This window comes from Homo sapiens, chromosome 12 (assembly GCF_000001405.40).
Source record: "Homo sapiens chromosome 12, GRCh38.p14 Primary Assembly".
In the NCBI taxonomy this organism is placed as follows: Eukaryota; Metazoa; Chordata; class Mammalia; order Primates; family Hominidae; genus Homo; species Homo sapiens.
This window is the reverse complement of record NC_000012.12, coordinates 63018596-63037867: the sequence shown is the minus strand read 5'-3', so window position 1 is coordinate 63037867 and position 19272 is coordinate 63018596. Positions and strand designations below refer to the sequence as shown.

General features: G+C 37.6%; 1 annotated feature.

The window, feature by feature from the left end:
• Window positions 12538–13039: an enhancer, noted in NCBI's record as "H3K4me1 hESC enhancer chr12:63418609-63419110 (GRCh37/hg19 assembly coordinates)". NCBI's record gives its function as "activates a minimal SCP1, AML or CMV promoter by ChIP-STARR-seq in naive H9 embryonic stem cells {active_cell/tissue: H9 hESC(naive)}" and the evidence as "EXISTENCE:reporter gene assay evidence [ECO:0000049][PMID:30033119]".

The following is a 19272-nucleotide window of genomic DNA, read 5'->3' as shown; positions in this document are numbered from 1 at the left end:
GTTGTGAATCAAGTAGAAAGACCCATCACGATTCAGTCATGAAATAATCTGCTGAAAAGGAAGACTTTTGAAAGTGTACTAGATATTTCTGTGGATGTTAAGGAAACTCCATTGGGAGTATCCAACTTAAGAACTTAAGCTAGAATGAACATTTACAGTCTTTCTGTATTAGCATTCTGTCTCTAGCTTTTTTCTGTCTCTCTCTCATTTGTTCATTCAACAAATATTAGTTGAGTGCCTAATATGTGCCAGGCATAGCTCTAAACACTAGGAATATAGCAGTGACTCAACCAGCCAAGGTTCTTCTGCCCTCACCAAGCTGTCCTTCTGCAGAAAGGGAATCAGGCAATTAACAAGTAAAAAATAAATGACAAAGACACTATCAGAGAATGATGCCTGCTGCTAAGGGAAACAGAACAAGGTGAAGGAAAGATGGTGAGTCGGGGGTGTGAAGTTCCTTTGGTTAGGGTGATCAGGAAAGGATCTTTAAAAAGTGAAATAAGAGTAGAGACCTGGAGGAAAATTGGAGACAGATTCCTGGTGGGGAGTTCTGCAAGTGCAAAGTCCCTGAGTGTGGCAGAATCATAAGGAGAAACAGAGTGAGTGGTAGAAGATGCAGTTGGAGAGCCATTCATTCATTCATTCATGAAAATTGAGAATTACAAGCCAGTTACTGCATGAGGTGCTGATTCAGAGGAAGGGTCTACGCCTTCCTTCTTTGGTTGGCTCTTGTGCAAGATTCTCCAGAGTTATTTCATGTAAAATGGAAGACAGAAAATGCCCTGCTCAGTGGGCTGCAGTCTCTCTCCTGTTTCTTTTATGCCTGTTCTGCAGTGAAGCACTTAATGACCTTATTTTGCCTTAGTTTTTTTTTTTTCTGTGAAAGTATATTAAGGCATTATTCCATGCCTATTTTTAAGGTAGTTTATGAAATAGGAATGAATATAGGCACAGTTTGTTCCAGTGAGTTTCTAATAATCAAATGCTTCCTTGCTTGGTGTAGCCTGGCTTCCACACAGGGATTCTAATTGAGAGGAGTATTGCAAAATCAGCATTTAGTATTCTGTGACACTAATTTGGCAAATACTTTGTTAGTATAATAGGCTTCAATATATAAAGTAATTTGAAGACTGCTTCTGAAAGGAAGCCCAACCAATCTCTGTGTGAACGCTGACAGATGACACTGCCAAAGGTCTCATCCAGATGGAATCAGCAGGGATTTATGCATTTATGGACTCAGTATCAGCATATAAATCTAAACTACTCTAACAAATCCTAGATCAAAAGATATATATGACTTTCTTTTGCTATGTCCAAAGCCTTGATTATACACTGAATTTTTGAAATAAAAAGACCTACAAATCAAATATTATTTACTTCTCATTTTTATTGCTTTTTGGTTCAGGTTTTATGATCACTTGAGTCTATGAGGTAATGCTAGGTACATCTATATTATTTTAGCCTAGACACATGAAATAGTTGGCTAGGAGGAATTGAGAATGGTTAGCATAGTTGTTTTGTTAGCATAGGTGGTTGGTTGGCATAGTTGATTTGCAGATATCAGCATACACTTAATTATTATTTTTAAGTGCTACTTGAAAACTAATTATGTCTGTCCTGTTGGAATTACAGGTGTGAGGAGGGTCACATAATTTAATTATATGGCAAATTTGCTGATTTCCATCTTCTACTACTGACAGCCCCTTGAGTTGAGAAGCTATGCCTTCCTGCTGTTTCCCTCAGCACGTAATACAAATATGCACACTATTTGTTCTGACATATAGTAGGTGCTGACTAAATACTTGTTGAATGAGTAAAATTGAATAAAAATAGAAACTACAGTGAATTCATTATAATTAAGACAACTTACTCTTTGTATAAGCTAAGCCAATTAAAAATTTCATATATATTCACTCATAGAATTTCACTTTCTTATTATTACAAATGGCTTTATATGTATATAATAATTTTACAAGTGCATAACTGTGATGATGTTATAATCCTGTTTTCTTTGTTCAACCAGTCTTTCAGCTCTCCAGGCTTCTACCCCTATCTCCAACTCATGTTAATAACCTACTAATGTGTCTAATTAAGAGCATGGACATAAGAGGCAATATTCTTCTCATCCCAGTACCATCACTTACAACCTGTGTGACTTTGAAAAAGTTTTGTAAATTTCCTGTGACTCAGTTTCCTCATCTGTAAAATGAAGATCATAAAACCTACCTCAAAGAGTTATGAGAATTAAATGAACTAATATATGACAAGCTCTTAGAAGAATGATTGTTACTTGCTTGTATGCATGTATACCACTAACTGTAGTCAGGAGGCTTTAGTTCCTTACCACTTGTGCCTCTCTCTAGGGTTGCTCACCACATCGCAGCTAACTTCTCCCAGAGTGAGTGATCTGAGAGGTAGAGGAGAGGACGTTGCCGTGCCTTTTATGACTTAGTCTCTAAAATCTCATCCTTTGTAACATTGTAGCTTTAAATATGTTTATATTAATATTTTAAATGGCTTATATTACATTTTAAATAAAATACAGGTTGATGCACCAGTAATTACTTTTAATGGCAAACACTGCAATTACTCTTGCACCAACCTAACAACTTAGAATTTTTAATCTTGATTAAAAGGTAACTGCTTGTTCATATACGTATTCACAAAGAGCTTTAACAAGATTTGTTTTATTTCTTAAAAAACAACTCTTTAGTCTATCTGCAACTCATTATTATTTATGATAAAGAGCCTAATTTTATTTGTTCTTAATGGTTCGACAGTTATCTAGCTAAAATAATTTTATAATCTATGCTTTATTCTACAAATTTGGATCTTTATAACTAACCACTGTAACATATAAGTCCCTCCAAATCTCGGCGGCCTAACATAATAAAAGATTATTTGCTAAACTAGTGTAGGTATTTCTGGGCAGGAAGGTCTTCTAGCTTGCTTCTTCCAAACAGCGATTTGGGAACCTGATTTCTTTCATCTTGTGGGCTCTCTGTCTTCAATACAAGGCTTCTAGGGTGGCCCTGGTAGTCATCACTATTCCAACTAGTTAGCCAGAAGTGGAAAAGTGCATGGAGAATCAGGTATATAAGACTTTAATGGGACAAGTCTGAAGGTGGTGTACAATGTTTCTGTGCTTGTTTCATAAGCCAGAGCTCAGATGCGTGGCCACTCAATGACAAGGGATGATGGGAAATATATTCTAGTTGGTGTCACTGATCTGTTCGTCAGTTTCTATGCTAGTGTCATATTGTTTTGATTATAACTTTATGACTTTATGGTATGTTCTAATATTTCTTAAAGTCTCCCTTACTGGTTTTCTTTTTACACTTTCCTCCTAAAGTTTGAATACATTTTATCAAATTTCAAAATCAAAGTCAAATAGCCACAACAAAACTCCTTCTTGACATTTTCATAGAAAATATATTAAATTTAATATTATTTGTAGGAGAGGTGATATTCCTATGGTATTGTCTTCCCAACCAAGAATATGTACCTTTTCTTTTGTTAAGGTATAGTTTTATGAGCTTTCTCAAGATTGAAATTATAGAAGAAACTAGAAAAAGTAGAAAGGTTCACAGCTGAGCCTTTTTTTTCTTTTTAAATTAAGTTATATTGTACTTATTATGAAAAGTACAGATCTTAAATACACAATTAGATGTCTTTGGGCAAGTGTATACACCCCTACTAAGATATAGAACATTACCGTCACCCCAGAAGCTTCCCTTGTGAGTCTTCCAATGAATCCCCACAACAAAGGTTACTATGGTTCTGATTTTCAGCACTATAGTTTTAGTGGTACTTGTTCTTGAACTTCATATAAGTGAAATTGTATGTATTTTTTTCTGTGTAAACCTTTTCTTTTTTTGTTTCATGTGGAAATTTACCCATGTTGCTACACTGATCAATTTGTCCATTTGTATTACTGAGTAGTATTCCATTGCATGGATATACCATAATTTGTTTATTCACGTTTTGAATAACATTTGGGTTGTTTCCGTTTATTGCTATTATGCTTAAAGCTGCTATACACATTGATGATATGCAAGTCTTTGTGTGGACATATGTATTTATTTCTCTTGAGAAGATATTTAGAGGTGGAATTCCTAGGTCATAGTATAGGTGTATATTTAACTTTATAAGAAACTGACCAACAGTTTTTTCAATTAGTTAGCCATGTTTTACACTCCCTCTGGCAATGTAACCTCCACATTAATAGTTAGAGTTCTAATAAATTAAAACTCAGGTTTAAGAAACTCACTCAAAACCGCTCAACTACATGGAAACTGAACAACCTGCTCCTGAATGACTACTGGCTACATAACGAAATGAAGGCAGAAATAAAGATGTTCTTTGAAACCAATGAGAACAAAGACACAACATGCCAGAATCTCTGGGACACATTTAAAGTAGTGTGTAGAGGGAAATTTATAGCACTAAATGCCCACAAGAGAAGGCAGGAAAGATCTAAAATTGACACCCTAACATCACAATTAAAAGAACTAGAGAAGCAAGAGCAAACACATTCAAAAGCTAGCAGAAGGCAAGAAATAACTAAGATCAGAGCAGAACTGAAGGAAATAGAGACACAAAAAAACCTTTCAAAAAATCAATGAATCCAGAAGCTGGTTTTTTGAAATGATCAACAAAATGGATAGACCACTAACAAAACTAATAAAGAAGAAAAGAGAGAAGAATCAAATAGATGCAATAAAAAATGATAAAGGGGACATCACCACCTATACCACAGAAATACAAACTACCATCAGAGAATACTACAAACACCTCTATGCAAATAAACTAGAAAATCCAGAAGAAATGGATAAATTCCTGGACACATACACCCTCCCAAGACTAAACCAGGAAGAAGTTGAATCCCTGAATAGACTAATAACAGGCTCTGAAATTGAGGCAATAATTAATATCCTACGAACCAAAAAAAGTCCAGGACCAGATGGATTCACAGCCAAATTCTACCAGAGGTACAAGGAGGAGCTGGTACCATTCCTTCTGAAACTATTCCAATCAATAGAAAAAGAGGGAATCCTCCCTAACTCATTTTATGAGGCCAGCATCATCCTGATACCAAAGCCTGGCAGAGACACAACAAAAAAAGAGAATTTTAGACCAATATCCCTGATGAACATCAATGCAAAAATCCTCAATAAAATACTGGCAAACCGAATTCAGCAGCACATCAAAAAGCTTATCCACCATGATCAAGTGGGCTTCATCCCTGGGATGCAAGGCTGGTTCAACATACGCAAATCAATAAATGTAATCCAGCATATAAACAGAACCAAAGACAAAAACCACATGATTATCTCAATAGACGCAGAAAAGGCCTTTGACAAAATTCAACAACGCTTCATGCTAAAAACTCTCAATAAACTAGGTATTGATGGAACTTATCTCAAAATAATAAGAGCTATTTATGATAAACCCACAGCCAATATCATACTGAATGGGCAAAAACTGGCAGCATTCCCTTTGAAAACTGGCACAAAACAGGGATGCCCTCTCTCACCACTCCTATTCAACATAGTGTTGGAAGTTCTGGCCAGGGCAATCAGGCAAGAGAAAGAAATAAAGGATATTCAATTAGGAAAAGAGGAAGTCAAATTGTCCCTGTTTGCAGATGACATGGTTGTATATTTAGAAAACCCCATCGTCTCAGCCCAAGATCTCCTTAAGCTCATAAGCAACTTCAGCAAAGTCTCAGGATCCAAAATCAATGTGTAAAAATCACAAGCATTCTTATACACCAATAACAGACAGAGAGCCAGATCATGAGTGAACTCCCATTCACAATTGCTTCAAAGAGAATAAAATACCTAGGAATAAAACTTACAAGGGATGTGAAGGACCTCTTCAAGGAGAACTACAAACCACTGCTCAACAAAATAAAAGAGGATACAAACAAATGGAAGAACATTCTGTGCTCATGGGTAGGAAGAATCAATATCGTGAAAATGGCCATACTGCCCAAGGTAATTTATAGATTCAATGCCATCCCCATCAAGCTACCAATGACTTTCTTCACAGAATTGGAAAAAAAATACTTTAAAGTTCGTATGGAACCAAAAAAGAGCCCACATTGCCAAGTCAATCCTAAGCAAAAAGAACAAAGCTGGAGGCATCACACTACCTGACTTCAAGCAATACTACAAGGTTGCAGTAACCAAAACAGCATGGTACTGGTACCAAAACAGACATATAGACCAATGGAATGGAACAGAGCCCCCAGAAATAATACCACACATCTACAACCATTTGATCTTTGACAAACCTGACAAAAACAAGAAATGGGGAAAGGTTTTATTTAATAAATGGTGCTGGGAAAACTGGCTAGCCATATGTAGAAAGCTGAAACTGGATCCCTTCCTTACACCTTATATAAAAATTAATTCAAGATGGACCAAAGACTTAAATGTTAGACCTAAAACCATAAAAACCCTGGAAGAAAACCTAGGCAATACCATTCAGGACATAGGTATGGGCAAGGACTTCATGTCTAAAACACCAAAAGCAATGGCAACAAAAGCCAAAATTGACAGATGGGATCTAATTAAACTAAAGAGCTTCTGCACAGCAAAAGAAACTACCATCAGAGTGAACAGGCAACCTACAGAATGGGAGAAAACTTTTGCAATCTACTCATCTGACAAAGGGCTAATATCCAGAATCTACAAAGAACTTAAACAAATTTACAAGAAAAAAACAACCTCATCAAAAAGTGGTTGAAGGATATGAATGGCCAACAGACACATGAAGAAATGCTCATCATCACTGGCCATCAGAGAAATGCAAATCAAAACCACAATGAGATACCATCTCACACTAGTTAGAATGGCAATCATTAAAAAGTCAGGAAACAACAGGTGCTGGAGAGGACGTGGAGAAATAGGAACACTTTTACACTGTTGGTGGGACTGTAAACTAGTTCAACCATTGTGGAAAACGGTGTGGCGATTCCTGAAGGATCTAGAACTAGAAATACCATTTGACCCAGCCATCCCATTACTGGGTATATACCCAAAGGACTATAAATCATGCTGCTATAAAGACACATGCACACGTATGTTTATTGCAGCACTATTCACAATAGCAAAGACTTGGAACCAACCCAAATGTCCATCAATGATAGACTGGATTAAGAAAATGTGGCACATATACACCATGGAATACTATGCAGCCATAAAAAAGATGAGTTCATGTCCTTTGTAGGTACATGAATGAAGCTGGAAACCATCATTCTGAGCAAACTATCGCAAGGACAAAAAACCAAACACCGCATGTTCTCACTCACAGGTGGGAATTGAACAGTGAGAACACATGGACACAGGAAGGGGAGCATCACACACCAGGGCCTGTCATGAGGTGGGGGATGGGGGAGGGATAGCATTAGGAGATATACCTAATGTAAATGATGAATTAATGGGTGTAGCACACCAACATGGCACATGTATACATATGTAACAAACCTGCACATTGTACACATGTACCCTAAAACTTAAAGTATAATAAAAAAAATTTTAAAAGGAAACATACTAATAAAAATCCTCACAAAAAAGAAAAAATAAAAATAAATGATCTCTTTATTAAAAATTGTGTTTAAATAAATTCATAAACCGTATGCCCTAAATTTAAATAACCTAATGAGAAGTATTTCCAGAAAGACATGAACTACTGAAACTCACTCAAGAAGAAATAAAAAATATGAATAGACCTATAACAAGGAAAAATATTAAATTCATAATAAAAAAACTCATCACTAAAGCCGAGGACCAGCCAGGAGGGGGTCTGTAACCTGCAAAACCACAAGAGCAGAGCTATCCAAGATAGCTATGCAAGCGTACCCTGGACATGAGACATGGAGTCAAAGGAGGTCATTTTGGAACTTTAACATTTAATGACTGCCCTATTGAAATTCAGACTTGCATGGGACCAGTAGCCCCTTTGTTTTGGCCAACTTCTCCCATTTGGAACGGATGTATTTACACAATCCTTGTACCCCCATTGTATCTAGGAAGTACCTAATTTGCTTTTGATGTTTCAGGTTCATAAGAGGAAGGGACTTGCCTTGTCTCAGATGAGACTTTGGACTTGGACTTTTGAGTTAGTGCTGGAATGAGTTAAGATTTTGGGGCTGGGAATGGTGGCTCACACTTGTAATCCCAGCACTTTGGGAGGCCGAGGCAGGAGGACCACATGAGGTCAGAAGTTTGATACCAGCCTGGTCAACATGGTGAAACCCCATCTCTACCAAAAATACAAAAATTAGCCAGGTGTGTTGGTGTGTGCCTCCTAGAGGCTGAGGCAGGAGAATCATTTGAACCTGGGAGGTGAAGGTTGCAGTGAGCCAACATCACATCACTGCATTCCAGCCTGGGCAACAGAGGGACACCCTGTCAGCAAAAGAAAAAAAAAAAAAAGACCTTGGGGGCTGTTGGAAAGGCATGATTGTGTTTTGAAATGTGAGGACATGAGATTTGGGAGGGGCCAGGGGCAGAATGATATGGTTTGCCTCTGTCCCCACACAAATCTCATCTTGAATTGTAGTTCCCATAATCCCCACATGTCATAGAAGGGACTCTGTGGGAGGCATTGATAATTTAATCATGGGATGTTTACCCTCATGCTCTTCTTGTGAGAGTGAGTGAGTTCTCATGAGATCTGATAGTTTTGTAAGAGGCTTTTCCCCCTTTTGCTGGGCACTTCTTGCTGCTGCCATGTGAAGAAGGATATGTATGCTTCCACAGCCATGCTGACCTGTGAGTCAATTAAACCTTTCCTTTATTAATTACCCAGTCTCAGGTATGTCTTTATTAGCAGTTTGAGAATGGACTAATACACCAGGTCAGGTCAAACTTATCCCACACACAGACAACCCAAATCACATGTTCAACTTATGGGCATTCTATTATCCCTGCTGATGAAGAGCAAATGGCCTGCAATAGGTGAGAGGAATAATTAGTCACCATCCCCAAAATACACACCAAGGACATTTTTAAAGGTAGTTTATATTGTGGACAAATCTTGTGCAATTGTATTACTGTATCATTACATATTATTTCTATAATAAACCACTTTTTAAAAGATGCTAAATAAAAAAAAGTTAGGCATCTTTTTGTTCCTGGATAAGAACAGAAGATTTTTGGTAATTCTAAATCCCCTTATTAACAAGGTAATTTTTATTAGCATATATTACTGTTGGCTTAGGGAAAATTGTGGGTTTTTAAAGTGATACAAAACAATTATCCTTTTCAACAGAACTACGGATAAAGATCAAGCTAAAGGTGAAGTGAGAAAATGAGAATATCAGTTTTGCTAATCCTTTAAAAACATTTTTTTTCCTTCTCTGTTATTTCCCTGTGGTTCTCTCTTTTATGTTGTAACAAATCTACCGTGAAGATTGATTTAAAAGAAAGAAAGCTTTGAAAAGGTTCTTACATATTTGCAGATGTTTGATTTGTATCTTCCCTTTTAACTTTTTTTCTCCAGCCAAAAGCCTTCTTATCATAAGGGGCAGTAGTAATATGAAGAACTATGGGTAAAACTAGTATATTTATTATTATTATCTAAACCAACAAGCATTTCTCAAAACATAAGTGTTGCATTCTGTGATTAATGTTTCGGACGGATTGCTTGCCAGTACAGCATTATTTTTTCCTGTCTCCCTGAAGAGTTTACAAACAAGGTTTTTTTCCTGAGGAGCTGACAATTAAAGTTATGCAGGCATTTCTAAAATGGTGAAGTGTGTTTTTAGTATGTATTTTCTCCTTGAAGAAAGGGATGATCCTTTTGTTGTTTTGGGCTTTTTTCTCCTTGAAAAGATAGCTCCTTCTCTAGTATTCTGTAAGGGTCACTTAAGACCAAGCTGCTTCAGGTCATCTTCCACTTTCATGCAGATTTATTGGCAGTTTTGTTTGTTTGTCCAGAAGGAGATTTTGTTCTCTGCTCTAAGGCTGACTTTGAAATGGAAGCTAATCACATAAGCAAAAATAGTTAACTATACTCATTGGCTAAATCCAATACGTTGTTTAGTCAGGCTGAGCGGTAGTGAAGTGAACAATCAAGGGAAGACATACTCAAGAGGTATTGCTTGCCTGCTTGCGTGCGTGCGTGCGTGTGTGTTTGTGTGTGTGTGCACGCGCGTGGGTGTGTGTCTGAGAAACAGACTCTTAGAACAATTGCAAAATGCAGAACAAAGCTTAAGATACAGAATTTTGGCGATGGCAATAAAGAGTGGATCTATACAATTAAAATATGCCAAATTATGTCAGCGCAGTAATGCAATTTGAACACTCACTTGGAAAATTTGGCAGTTTCTTAAATGTTACACATATACCACCATTGAATTCAGCCATTCCACTCTTTTCTCTGTCATTCTCATTTTATAGTAAAAACCTCTGGCTTCTGGGAATTACTATGAAAAATACCTGCAGTGACAACAGTTATTTTGAAATGCAAAAATTTCAGGCATGCATATAATCTCCAAAACCTTCTAAGTTTATTTCTTAATATTTTGCAGTGAGGGCTGATGTTCAAAATTAGGTACTACAGAATACTAAAAATCTCCTAAAGGTTCAATGTGAAAACTGAGTAATTGGTTTTTATTTCCTATTTTGTAAAGAGACTAAGGATCAGAGCAGCTTCCCACCTGAAGTCACATGACTGGTAAATTGTGGGCACAGGATTTAAATTAAAGTCTGTGTGACTCAAACTTGTGTTCTCTGCAACCGTTTAGGTATACTATACATGTTAAAAAATAAAAAGAAACTGCTATATCTCAGAAAAGTTTTAAGCTACATGGCTACACACAAAATAAATTCTTTCCTGGCAATCAGAAAATTTAACTCATCATGTTATCATAGTTACAAAGGGTCCTGTTTAGCAATTATGGTACATAGCCCACAGAGAAACCACATTTTCAATAATGAATGGGGCTATAATTTGGAATCAGAACACCTTATCAACAAGAGATGTCTGAAGAGGGAAACATAAACTAAGCCTCCCAAAGCACCTATAGTAGATATAACTGAGAAAGAGATAGAACCAGAATTTTTTTGTAATTTTTCTCAAAAGATTAATCATAACATTAAAAGTCTCTCAAGCACCTACGTGTGCCTGAAATCATGTTAAATTATGTACATGGAGGATCTTGTTAAATCCTCACTTGAATCTTACGCATGAAGAACACTCTTCCATTTTACATTAAGACTCCATTTTACAAATGGGGAAACTGGAACTTAATAGTTGAATCTCACCTGTTGGGACTCAGCAAGCAATATCCCAAAACATGGCACCTTGGCGTGCAGAGTACTTTGAACTGAAGGACATTAGAAGGACCTCGGAAGCAGTTTCTCTTGCCCTCCTATCACCCACCCCTTTTTCTCCCCTGATGTGAGTCACAGAATGCAGAATTCCTCTTCCACATGGTGTATCATAGAAACTAGAACCTCTCTCTCCCAAAGCAAGCCATTAAACCTAGAAAGGTCACTCTCTCCCCTATCTCTTCTCTTTTGAAGACCCTTATGCCATGGGGGTCCTGTCCCATACCTGGGAGGGAAGAATGTTATACAGAGGCCCAGAAGAATCTGAACAGACAGGCCTTGCTGGGTTTCCTCGTTCAGCTATGATCTATTAGATCATACCTTTTTGTCCAATCACATTTCTACATGGCTGCCCATTCTTCATCAAACCAAAACATAAAAATAAATAATTTTTCCTCCGAGTCTTTGGGTCTTTATTTCTGAAGCCTCCTGTGTTACATAAAACTTTGATTAAATAAATCTGTTATGCTTTTCTCTTGCTAACCAGTCTTTCATTATAAAAGTGTCAGCTGTGGACGTGGACCCTTACGATGGGTGAGAAAAGGTATCATACCTTTCTGCCCCTACACACCCAAAGTCATGTACTGGTACATAGCGGGCCAGGGTTTGACTTCAGAGTCTTCTCTCAATGAAAAATGCACCACAGGAATTTAGCTGCAACATGGTCAACTAATAACATTTTCCTTCACATAAGATCATTATTTTCACAGTGAGACTTCTTGTTACTAAACTGTAGCACCAAGGTGCATGCTAAAAATGAAATAAAAATGTTTGTTTCATGAATAGCTGTGCCCATCTACCTTTTTTCCCCCAACTGAAATTGGAGTATTGGTGCATTTTTTGCATAAATGGAAGCTGGCAAACAGGGCTTGGTTTTGAGAAAAAATACAGGTCAGACATAGGCTATTCAGTAATTGAAAGAGAAGAGATTGTAGATACCGCAACCAGAAACTTTTCAAAGAAAGCCGAGTACCTCAGTTATTTCCATATAAAACACACAGGAGTTGAGATTCAATAGATTTTATTCATCTGTGGAGAAAATGAATGCAGCTTCCACCAGCTGATAAAAATATGAGTGAGGGAGGAGGGGCCCCTGTGCATCTCCCAGGCAGAAAATAGGTCTGTAACTTGCTTTGTGTTTGAGGTCTTCCCATGTTATGCAGTATGTCTAGCAAATGATGTCACTGGCTTCCAGAGCAAAAGCAACCAAGGGCCCTAGTAGAGTTGCATGGCATGGATGGGTCATTTGTGTCCTCTGAATTTGCATAACTGAAGTGCAGGCCAAATTCTCAGCTTGGTATTCATTTTGCTGGGTAAGTAGGGCCCAGCTGACAAATAGAGTTTGGAAGCTTCCAAGTTACTAAGGCAAAACACTGGGGCAAGAAGCCACATAACACAGGGCTTATGTGAGCTCAAGTCCCTACCATTATGGATTTGTATCCCAGCTCCCTCTCTTTGAGGATGTTAATGTTGAAAAGGTCTTTTTGTTGTTCTTCTTCTTTAAATGAAGGTTGGATGTATTAAAATATGTAAAGCAATCAGAATATTAGACAATTCATTTTAGCTTCACATACACCCATGCATGTATGTACACACATTCCAGCCCAATCCATTTAAACATTCTTACTGTCCTTCCAGATTTTCAAAAAAGGAGTAAGCCTTATATGACAGGCCCTGTGTAAGAGCTTAACTTGCTTACCCCTAACTCTCAACTAATCCTAACAGCCACAGTTCCCCATTCTGCCCTCTCTCCAGGGCTGCCTCGTACGATTTTATTTAGAAATAATGCAAAAAATATGGTATTTCTCCAGCTTAGAGTCTTTCTTTTTCTTACCATGTCCCTAGACATGGAGTGTTTATTATAGTTTGGTACCTCTAACTTTCTGGGCATATTTGTTTATTAGAGCTGGTATTTATTAAGCACTTGCTATATGCTAGGTGCTGTGTTAAGTACTCTAAATAAATTCATAATATGAGTAGTATTATGTCCATTTTACCTATGGAGAAATCAAGATCCAAATTAAGAAACCTATCAAGGGTCACAGATCTGGAAAATGGTAGAGGGTGAGCTCAAGTTTATGCTGGCATGGCTCCAAATCCTGTACTCATCCTTATAAACCATATTCCAGGTAGCTTTGTTTTGTTCACTGGCAAAAGATTGAAGTCTCAACCCAAGCCAACAATCTTGTAAATACAATCTATGGTTCACATGGAAAATAAGTAAATAAATGTGTGTGTGAATGTGTCTTAGTCCATTCTGTGTTGCCATAATAGAATACCACAGACTGAGTAATTTATAAAGAAAAGTAATTTATTTCTCACAGTTCTGGAGGCTGAGAAGTTCAAGGTCAAAGCACCTGCATCTGGCAAGGGCCTTCTTGCTGAGTCATAACATGATGGAAGGCTTCACATGGTGAAAGAGCATGAGAGAGAGCAAGACAGATGGGGGTCAAACTCATTATTTTATCAGGAACCCATTCCTATGATGATTAACCCATTCCCAAGATAACAGCATTCATCCATTCATGAGAGCAGAGCCCTCATGACTTAATCACCTCTTAAGTGTCCTGCCTCTCAATACTGTTAAGTTGGGGATTAGGTTTCCAACACATGAACTGCGGGTGACACATTTAAACAATAATAATATGGATATAGCCCATGGCCACTACTGGAGAAACAATTCAAAGTCTACGTGTGTAGATCTGAGTTCTAGAGTGAGAACAGAAGCACATCCCTCTTTCTGTAAAAACGGGCCTTAGAAAGAGTGTGGATCCCCAAGGTACAGGCAAAACAAAAGCAAGCTTTGGGGCTGCCTCTTGTCCTCTCCGGACTTAGGAAGAAAGAAGAAAAAATTTAGCAGCTGGGGGTAAAGGGTTAGGTTTCTCACCCCCTGACTAATAGTACAATAGCAGTACCCACACATGGTAGAATGGGAGAAGGAGTTGCTCCAGCACCCTGTGGGTCTCCAAGGAAACTGAGAAGAACCCATCAGTCCTCATTTTGTCAGAGGAAGAGTAGCTCTTCTTTCAGCAAGTCTGAGCAGGTACAACAGCAGTCGTAGTTTCAGAATCTGTGCTCTACTGCTCCAGGCTGCCCTGGAAAGACCTCTATTATGGGGTAGCTAGTATTTCTCTGACTTTCATCAAGACCAGTTAGGTATTTAAGGTCTTGGATTCCCAGGCACAAATCACACACCTATCTTTCAAAAATATATAGTTATAAGCCAATCTCATCTTTTTATCCCAAACATATAATTGGCACTGAAATTCAAGCTGTGTCATAATCGGATTGCATCAGACAGCTTTGTAAATAGGCTTAAAAGTTTTAACTAATTTGGAGAGCAATCTAATGGCAAAGGTAAGGCAAGTAGCTTTATAGAATGGTTTCTGTTTGATGGAGCTTAAGCCATAAAGGGTATTTTTCCCAGGAACCAGGAACCCTACTAACTCCAAGCCACTTTTAGTGATAAATTAACCACCTCATCTTTGTATGTAAAGTATGACATATATCTACTTTTATTTATATTTGATTGGAACCAATGGAATCAGATATTGTCTAGCTTACTATCCACTGGCACCGTTCAGGGGTCACCTTGAAATATTTGTAGCAAGTAAAAGTTCGAGAGTGTGGGCCCAGGTATAAGAAATGCAATATTATTTCCCTTTACTTTGCTTCTATTATGCAGAAAAACAATCTGTCAATTTGTGGTTCCCAACTTCCTCCTAGGATTGTATCTAGGATTGTTACTGTATCTCTCATGTACATATAATGCAGGGTACATGGTAAGTCTTCGATAAATGGTTTCTGTAAAAGAAAAAATAAAATTGAGTTCACATCATGACAGCCTTCTTTCTCTCCTTGTCAAATAGGAAGTGGGGGAGTATTATAAGACATAGGTCATATTTACAAAAATAAGGTTAAATTAAATTTTTTTGGAAACTATTTTCAGGATTGCATAATCCCTTGAAGTGATAAGTACTCTCAGATGTCACAAAACCATGACTAGGACACGCCAATTTCATGTAAGGAAGCCCTTCTCAGTGAATGGCAAGGAATACTGGCCCAATGTGTTGAACAAACATTGCCTGATATGCAGTCACAGCTTGGCATCCCACCTCCAATCACTGCTTGGCTCCACAACAAATGTCAATAGCTTTGTTATAAGAAAGCTGAGAGCAATAAGATTTTAGACAACTATGTTCAAATATTAAACCTAAATGTATTATTTAATAGTGATACGCTAGTTTGCAGTTATCCATGCTAATAGGGAAATAGTTTGCCAAATAATTTTCAGATACAATTGAAAAAAGCCTTATTTTAGTTATCGTTATTACCTCCTTCCCTTCAAACATTTGTAAGTGCTACTAACAAGGAAAAAAATTAACAAATTTTGACTTTTACCTCCATCTCCTTCTTTTCTCCTCTGATGAAAATGTTCACAAGCAATAAAACAGATACACACTAAAAGAAAATAAGAGGCAAGAAGCAAAAAACATGAGAAGCCAGACTAGATTCCTAGGCCCAGAAAAAGGCAACACTGGCAATGATAGCAACGTGTCATAACTGGCCAATTCACTCACGGAGAAAAGAGAACATGGCACTAGAAGCTCGGTGATGCTAAAATTTTAGGAAGTAGCTGTTTTTACTCTATCCTTTATATTTTGATCCATGGAGGGCGCTGGCACTGGCGCGCTCTCTCTCTCTCTCTCTCTCTCTCTCTCTCTCTCTCTCTCCCCCCCCTTCCCTCCTTCCCTCCCTCCCTCCTCCTGAGGGTTTCTTGGTAGCTAAACTTTGCATTAATGGTTCTCCTTATTTTTCATAATAATAGCCCAGCTGAGCAGGAAAGAAAATCCAACCATAGTTGCTTTTCTAACAGTGTTGGTGGGCTCAATCTTTAACCAGCTGTTTGTGGTTCTCACGGAGCAGTGAATTAAAACAATACCTGTAGGACTTGACCCATTTCCCATTACCATTTGAGGGAAGTTTTCTACCATTTCTTCTTTTCACGAACACAGCCTCTTATATAGCCAGTTTCCCTGACCAGAAAGCATTTCTTTATGCCCTCTTAGCCCGGATTTTAATCTGTGCTGATTCTGACAAGGATTTTCACTTTACTAAATGAAACATTTCCAAAATATTCACTGAAAAGAGGAAGATAGTCTGTTAAAGGGAACTCACAAAACCACGGGACCCACGGGACAAGCCACAAGTGGCATCTTGAGCTTTCTTGGGCCCCAGGTCATTTCAGTCGCTAAGGCTGATGCATAAGATGCAGAGAGAAATACGAGCCATGTGATAAACTAAAAAGCAAAACTAGTGATCCATGTAATATGGCTCATGCTTTACAATGGAATGAAACTCACAGGCCCTTTAAGTTGGAAACATCCGATGAGACATTGCTTCTAGGTCTTTAGTGGATTTTAGAATTCTGAAAGTGTGTGGCAAGTGTGTGTGTGACCTTAAGCTATACGTGTCTCATTTGTGATGACTTATTCCAAAAATGCAGGGCCTTTATGTTTGAACAGTAAGTGCAGCTAGAGGCTTAAAAAAGCAAAGGCCATTATTTTATATAACTTCTTTTTAAGAACATGTGAAGGGGGCTATTTGGGGAATACAGTCTGAGCAATCCTAATGACTCAGTTGTGCCGATTTAAACTACATTAAGTTTTCAAAGTTTGTATTTCCTATTTTTAAACATTTTTCTGCATTTGACTTCAATTATTACTTGTAATATGTACCTGCATGCTAAAAAAACCAGCACTTTAAGAAGTCAAACAATGTTTACAGCACTCAGAAGACTCTCTAAAGTATCCCATTGGTTTGTTATTCAAACACAATAAATTTATATAATTACTGGGGTGTATGTGTATGTTGATATGCTAATAACATATCTTCCTACTAAACATGCATTTGTTTCTCTAAGTTTTATACCTGAATATAGGATCCTGAAAGCAAATGACTTAGTTTCATCTTTTAGATCTTCCTGCCTGGTACCAGTGTTACTGTTGGATAAATGTTTACTGACTGCTGAAACTAAAGCCAGCATTGCAGGTGTGTGTCACTCTAGGAGATCTGCTTTTGCATATTGCTTTCACTTAAAGAGAACACTATTCCTTCAAGCAGGTAAAGAAGTTACTCTCTTTCCTGTGATTATTTCACAGTTACAGTCATGTAGGTTGTCTTGCTTTAAGCTGTGTTTCAATGAATTTTTAAACTGTTTCTCTCCTCCCTGGCTTTCAGTGCCTTAAACTAGTGACAGGCCCAGTGGGGAAGAAATCTGGGGACAAACTACACTAATGGATGACTGCATGCCTTTACCTTAAGTGCTGAAATAAATAAACAACTTCAAAGAGAATACAGAGAGGGAGGAAAGGGTTAGGGCAGGAAAAGAGAAGGAAACGGGGGGAAAGGGCATAGGGAAATGTGAGTGAGTGGCACATGGCTCCTGAGATGGAACTAGAGTACTCCATCTAATCCAAAAAAGTTCATAAAGCACTTTCACATACATCATTCCACAGTTATTAGGTGAAGTATAGAATATCTTGATCTCAGAGATGAGAAAGAGGATTCAGAGAGGTTGAATATCTGCCCAAGGTCACACAGCTAGTATGCAAGTAGTAGAGCAGGCACATAACCTCCAACATCATCATTGTCATCATCACTGTCATCATCTTCACGCCAGATCATCATGTTTTCCTCTGAGCATATGGCCAACCCCTATACCATCCGTTTGCCCAGTGTTTGCAGACACCACAATTAAACAAATATATTTAAGTGCTGCTTAATAAAGGGTGAATGTTATTGAGAGGAAGGAGAAACTTTGTAAATATAGGGCAAAATGTCATTATTTTCTGAACTATAAATTGTTTATTTGAGCCACAAGCTCTGATAGATAAGGCACTAACATTTTGAAATCTCTCACAATGTGTATGTAGATTGTCATTATATAAAATAACAACAATAAAAATGATGTAGCATTACAGTGTGTAAGGCCCCATTTATGTCCTTTGCATTCTATGAGGAAAGAACTATGACTATCTTTGTTTTACAGATGAGGAAACTGAGGCATATAAATTTCAGTAACTTGCACAGAGTTATACAGCTGTTAAGCAGTGACATCTGAAAGCATCCTGGCTCTGAGTCCTCTCTGAACTATATAATTTTATGTATTACTTTCAAAAGAAAGTAATTCTAGGTGATTATATTATCAGCTCAATCATTTTAAGTACCTGTATCTATGTTATTACAAATTCATTCCATTCTACACTATATTCTTGACATTTTTTAATTGGTAATTCTTGACAGGGAAACCATTTCCCTTATGATACTTAAAATATTTGTTGTATACATTTTTGCAATCATTAAAGTAAATAATAACCCTGGTGTAAAAAAGAAACTAAAACATTACATAAATATATAAAAGAGACAGTTACAGTTCTTTGTAAATTTAGCTCCCTTCCACCACCATAATTACCATTAACATCATCCACTCACGTTAAACCATCTCAGTTATTATTAACTCACTTAAAACTTGAGTCCTAAACTTTCAGCAATGCATATTTACAGTTCTCAGCTAATTGTATCCACTTAAAGCTTTTCCAGCAATGACAGCAGGTAGGCAACCCCAGATAAATGCAGCCTGTGTGATGAGCATTTCACCAAAGCTTATTTATCCTCAGCCATCGGCCTGCCCAGAGGTCCCTTTCTGGGGTCTGGGTCAAAATCAGCACAGCAGTGCCAGGTAACTTCGCGTTGTCAAGAGACAACGCTTTCATGATCTTCAAAGCAAATTGAGAAATCCATTTTCTCTTCATTGCTGGGAAACTGACTCCAAAGACAATTCTAGAGGAGAGACTCCCAAAATATTTGGGTGAGGTTAAATTCATCCAAAACATACTAATTATCACCGACTATATGCCAGGTACCG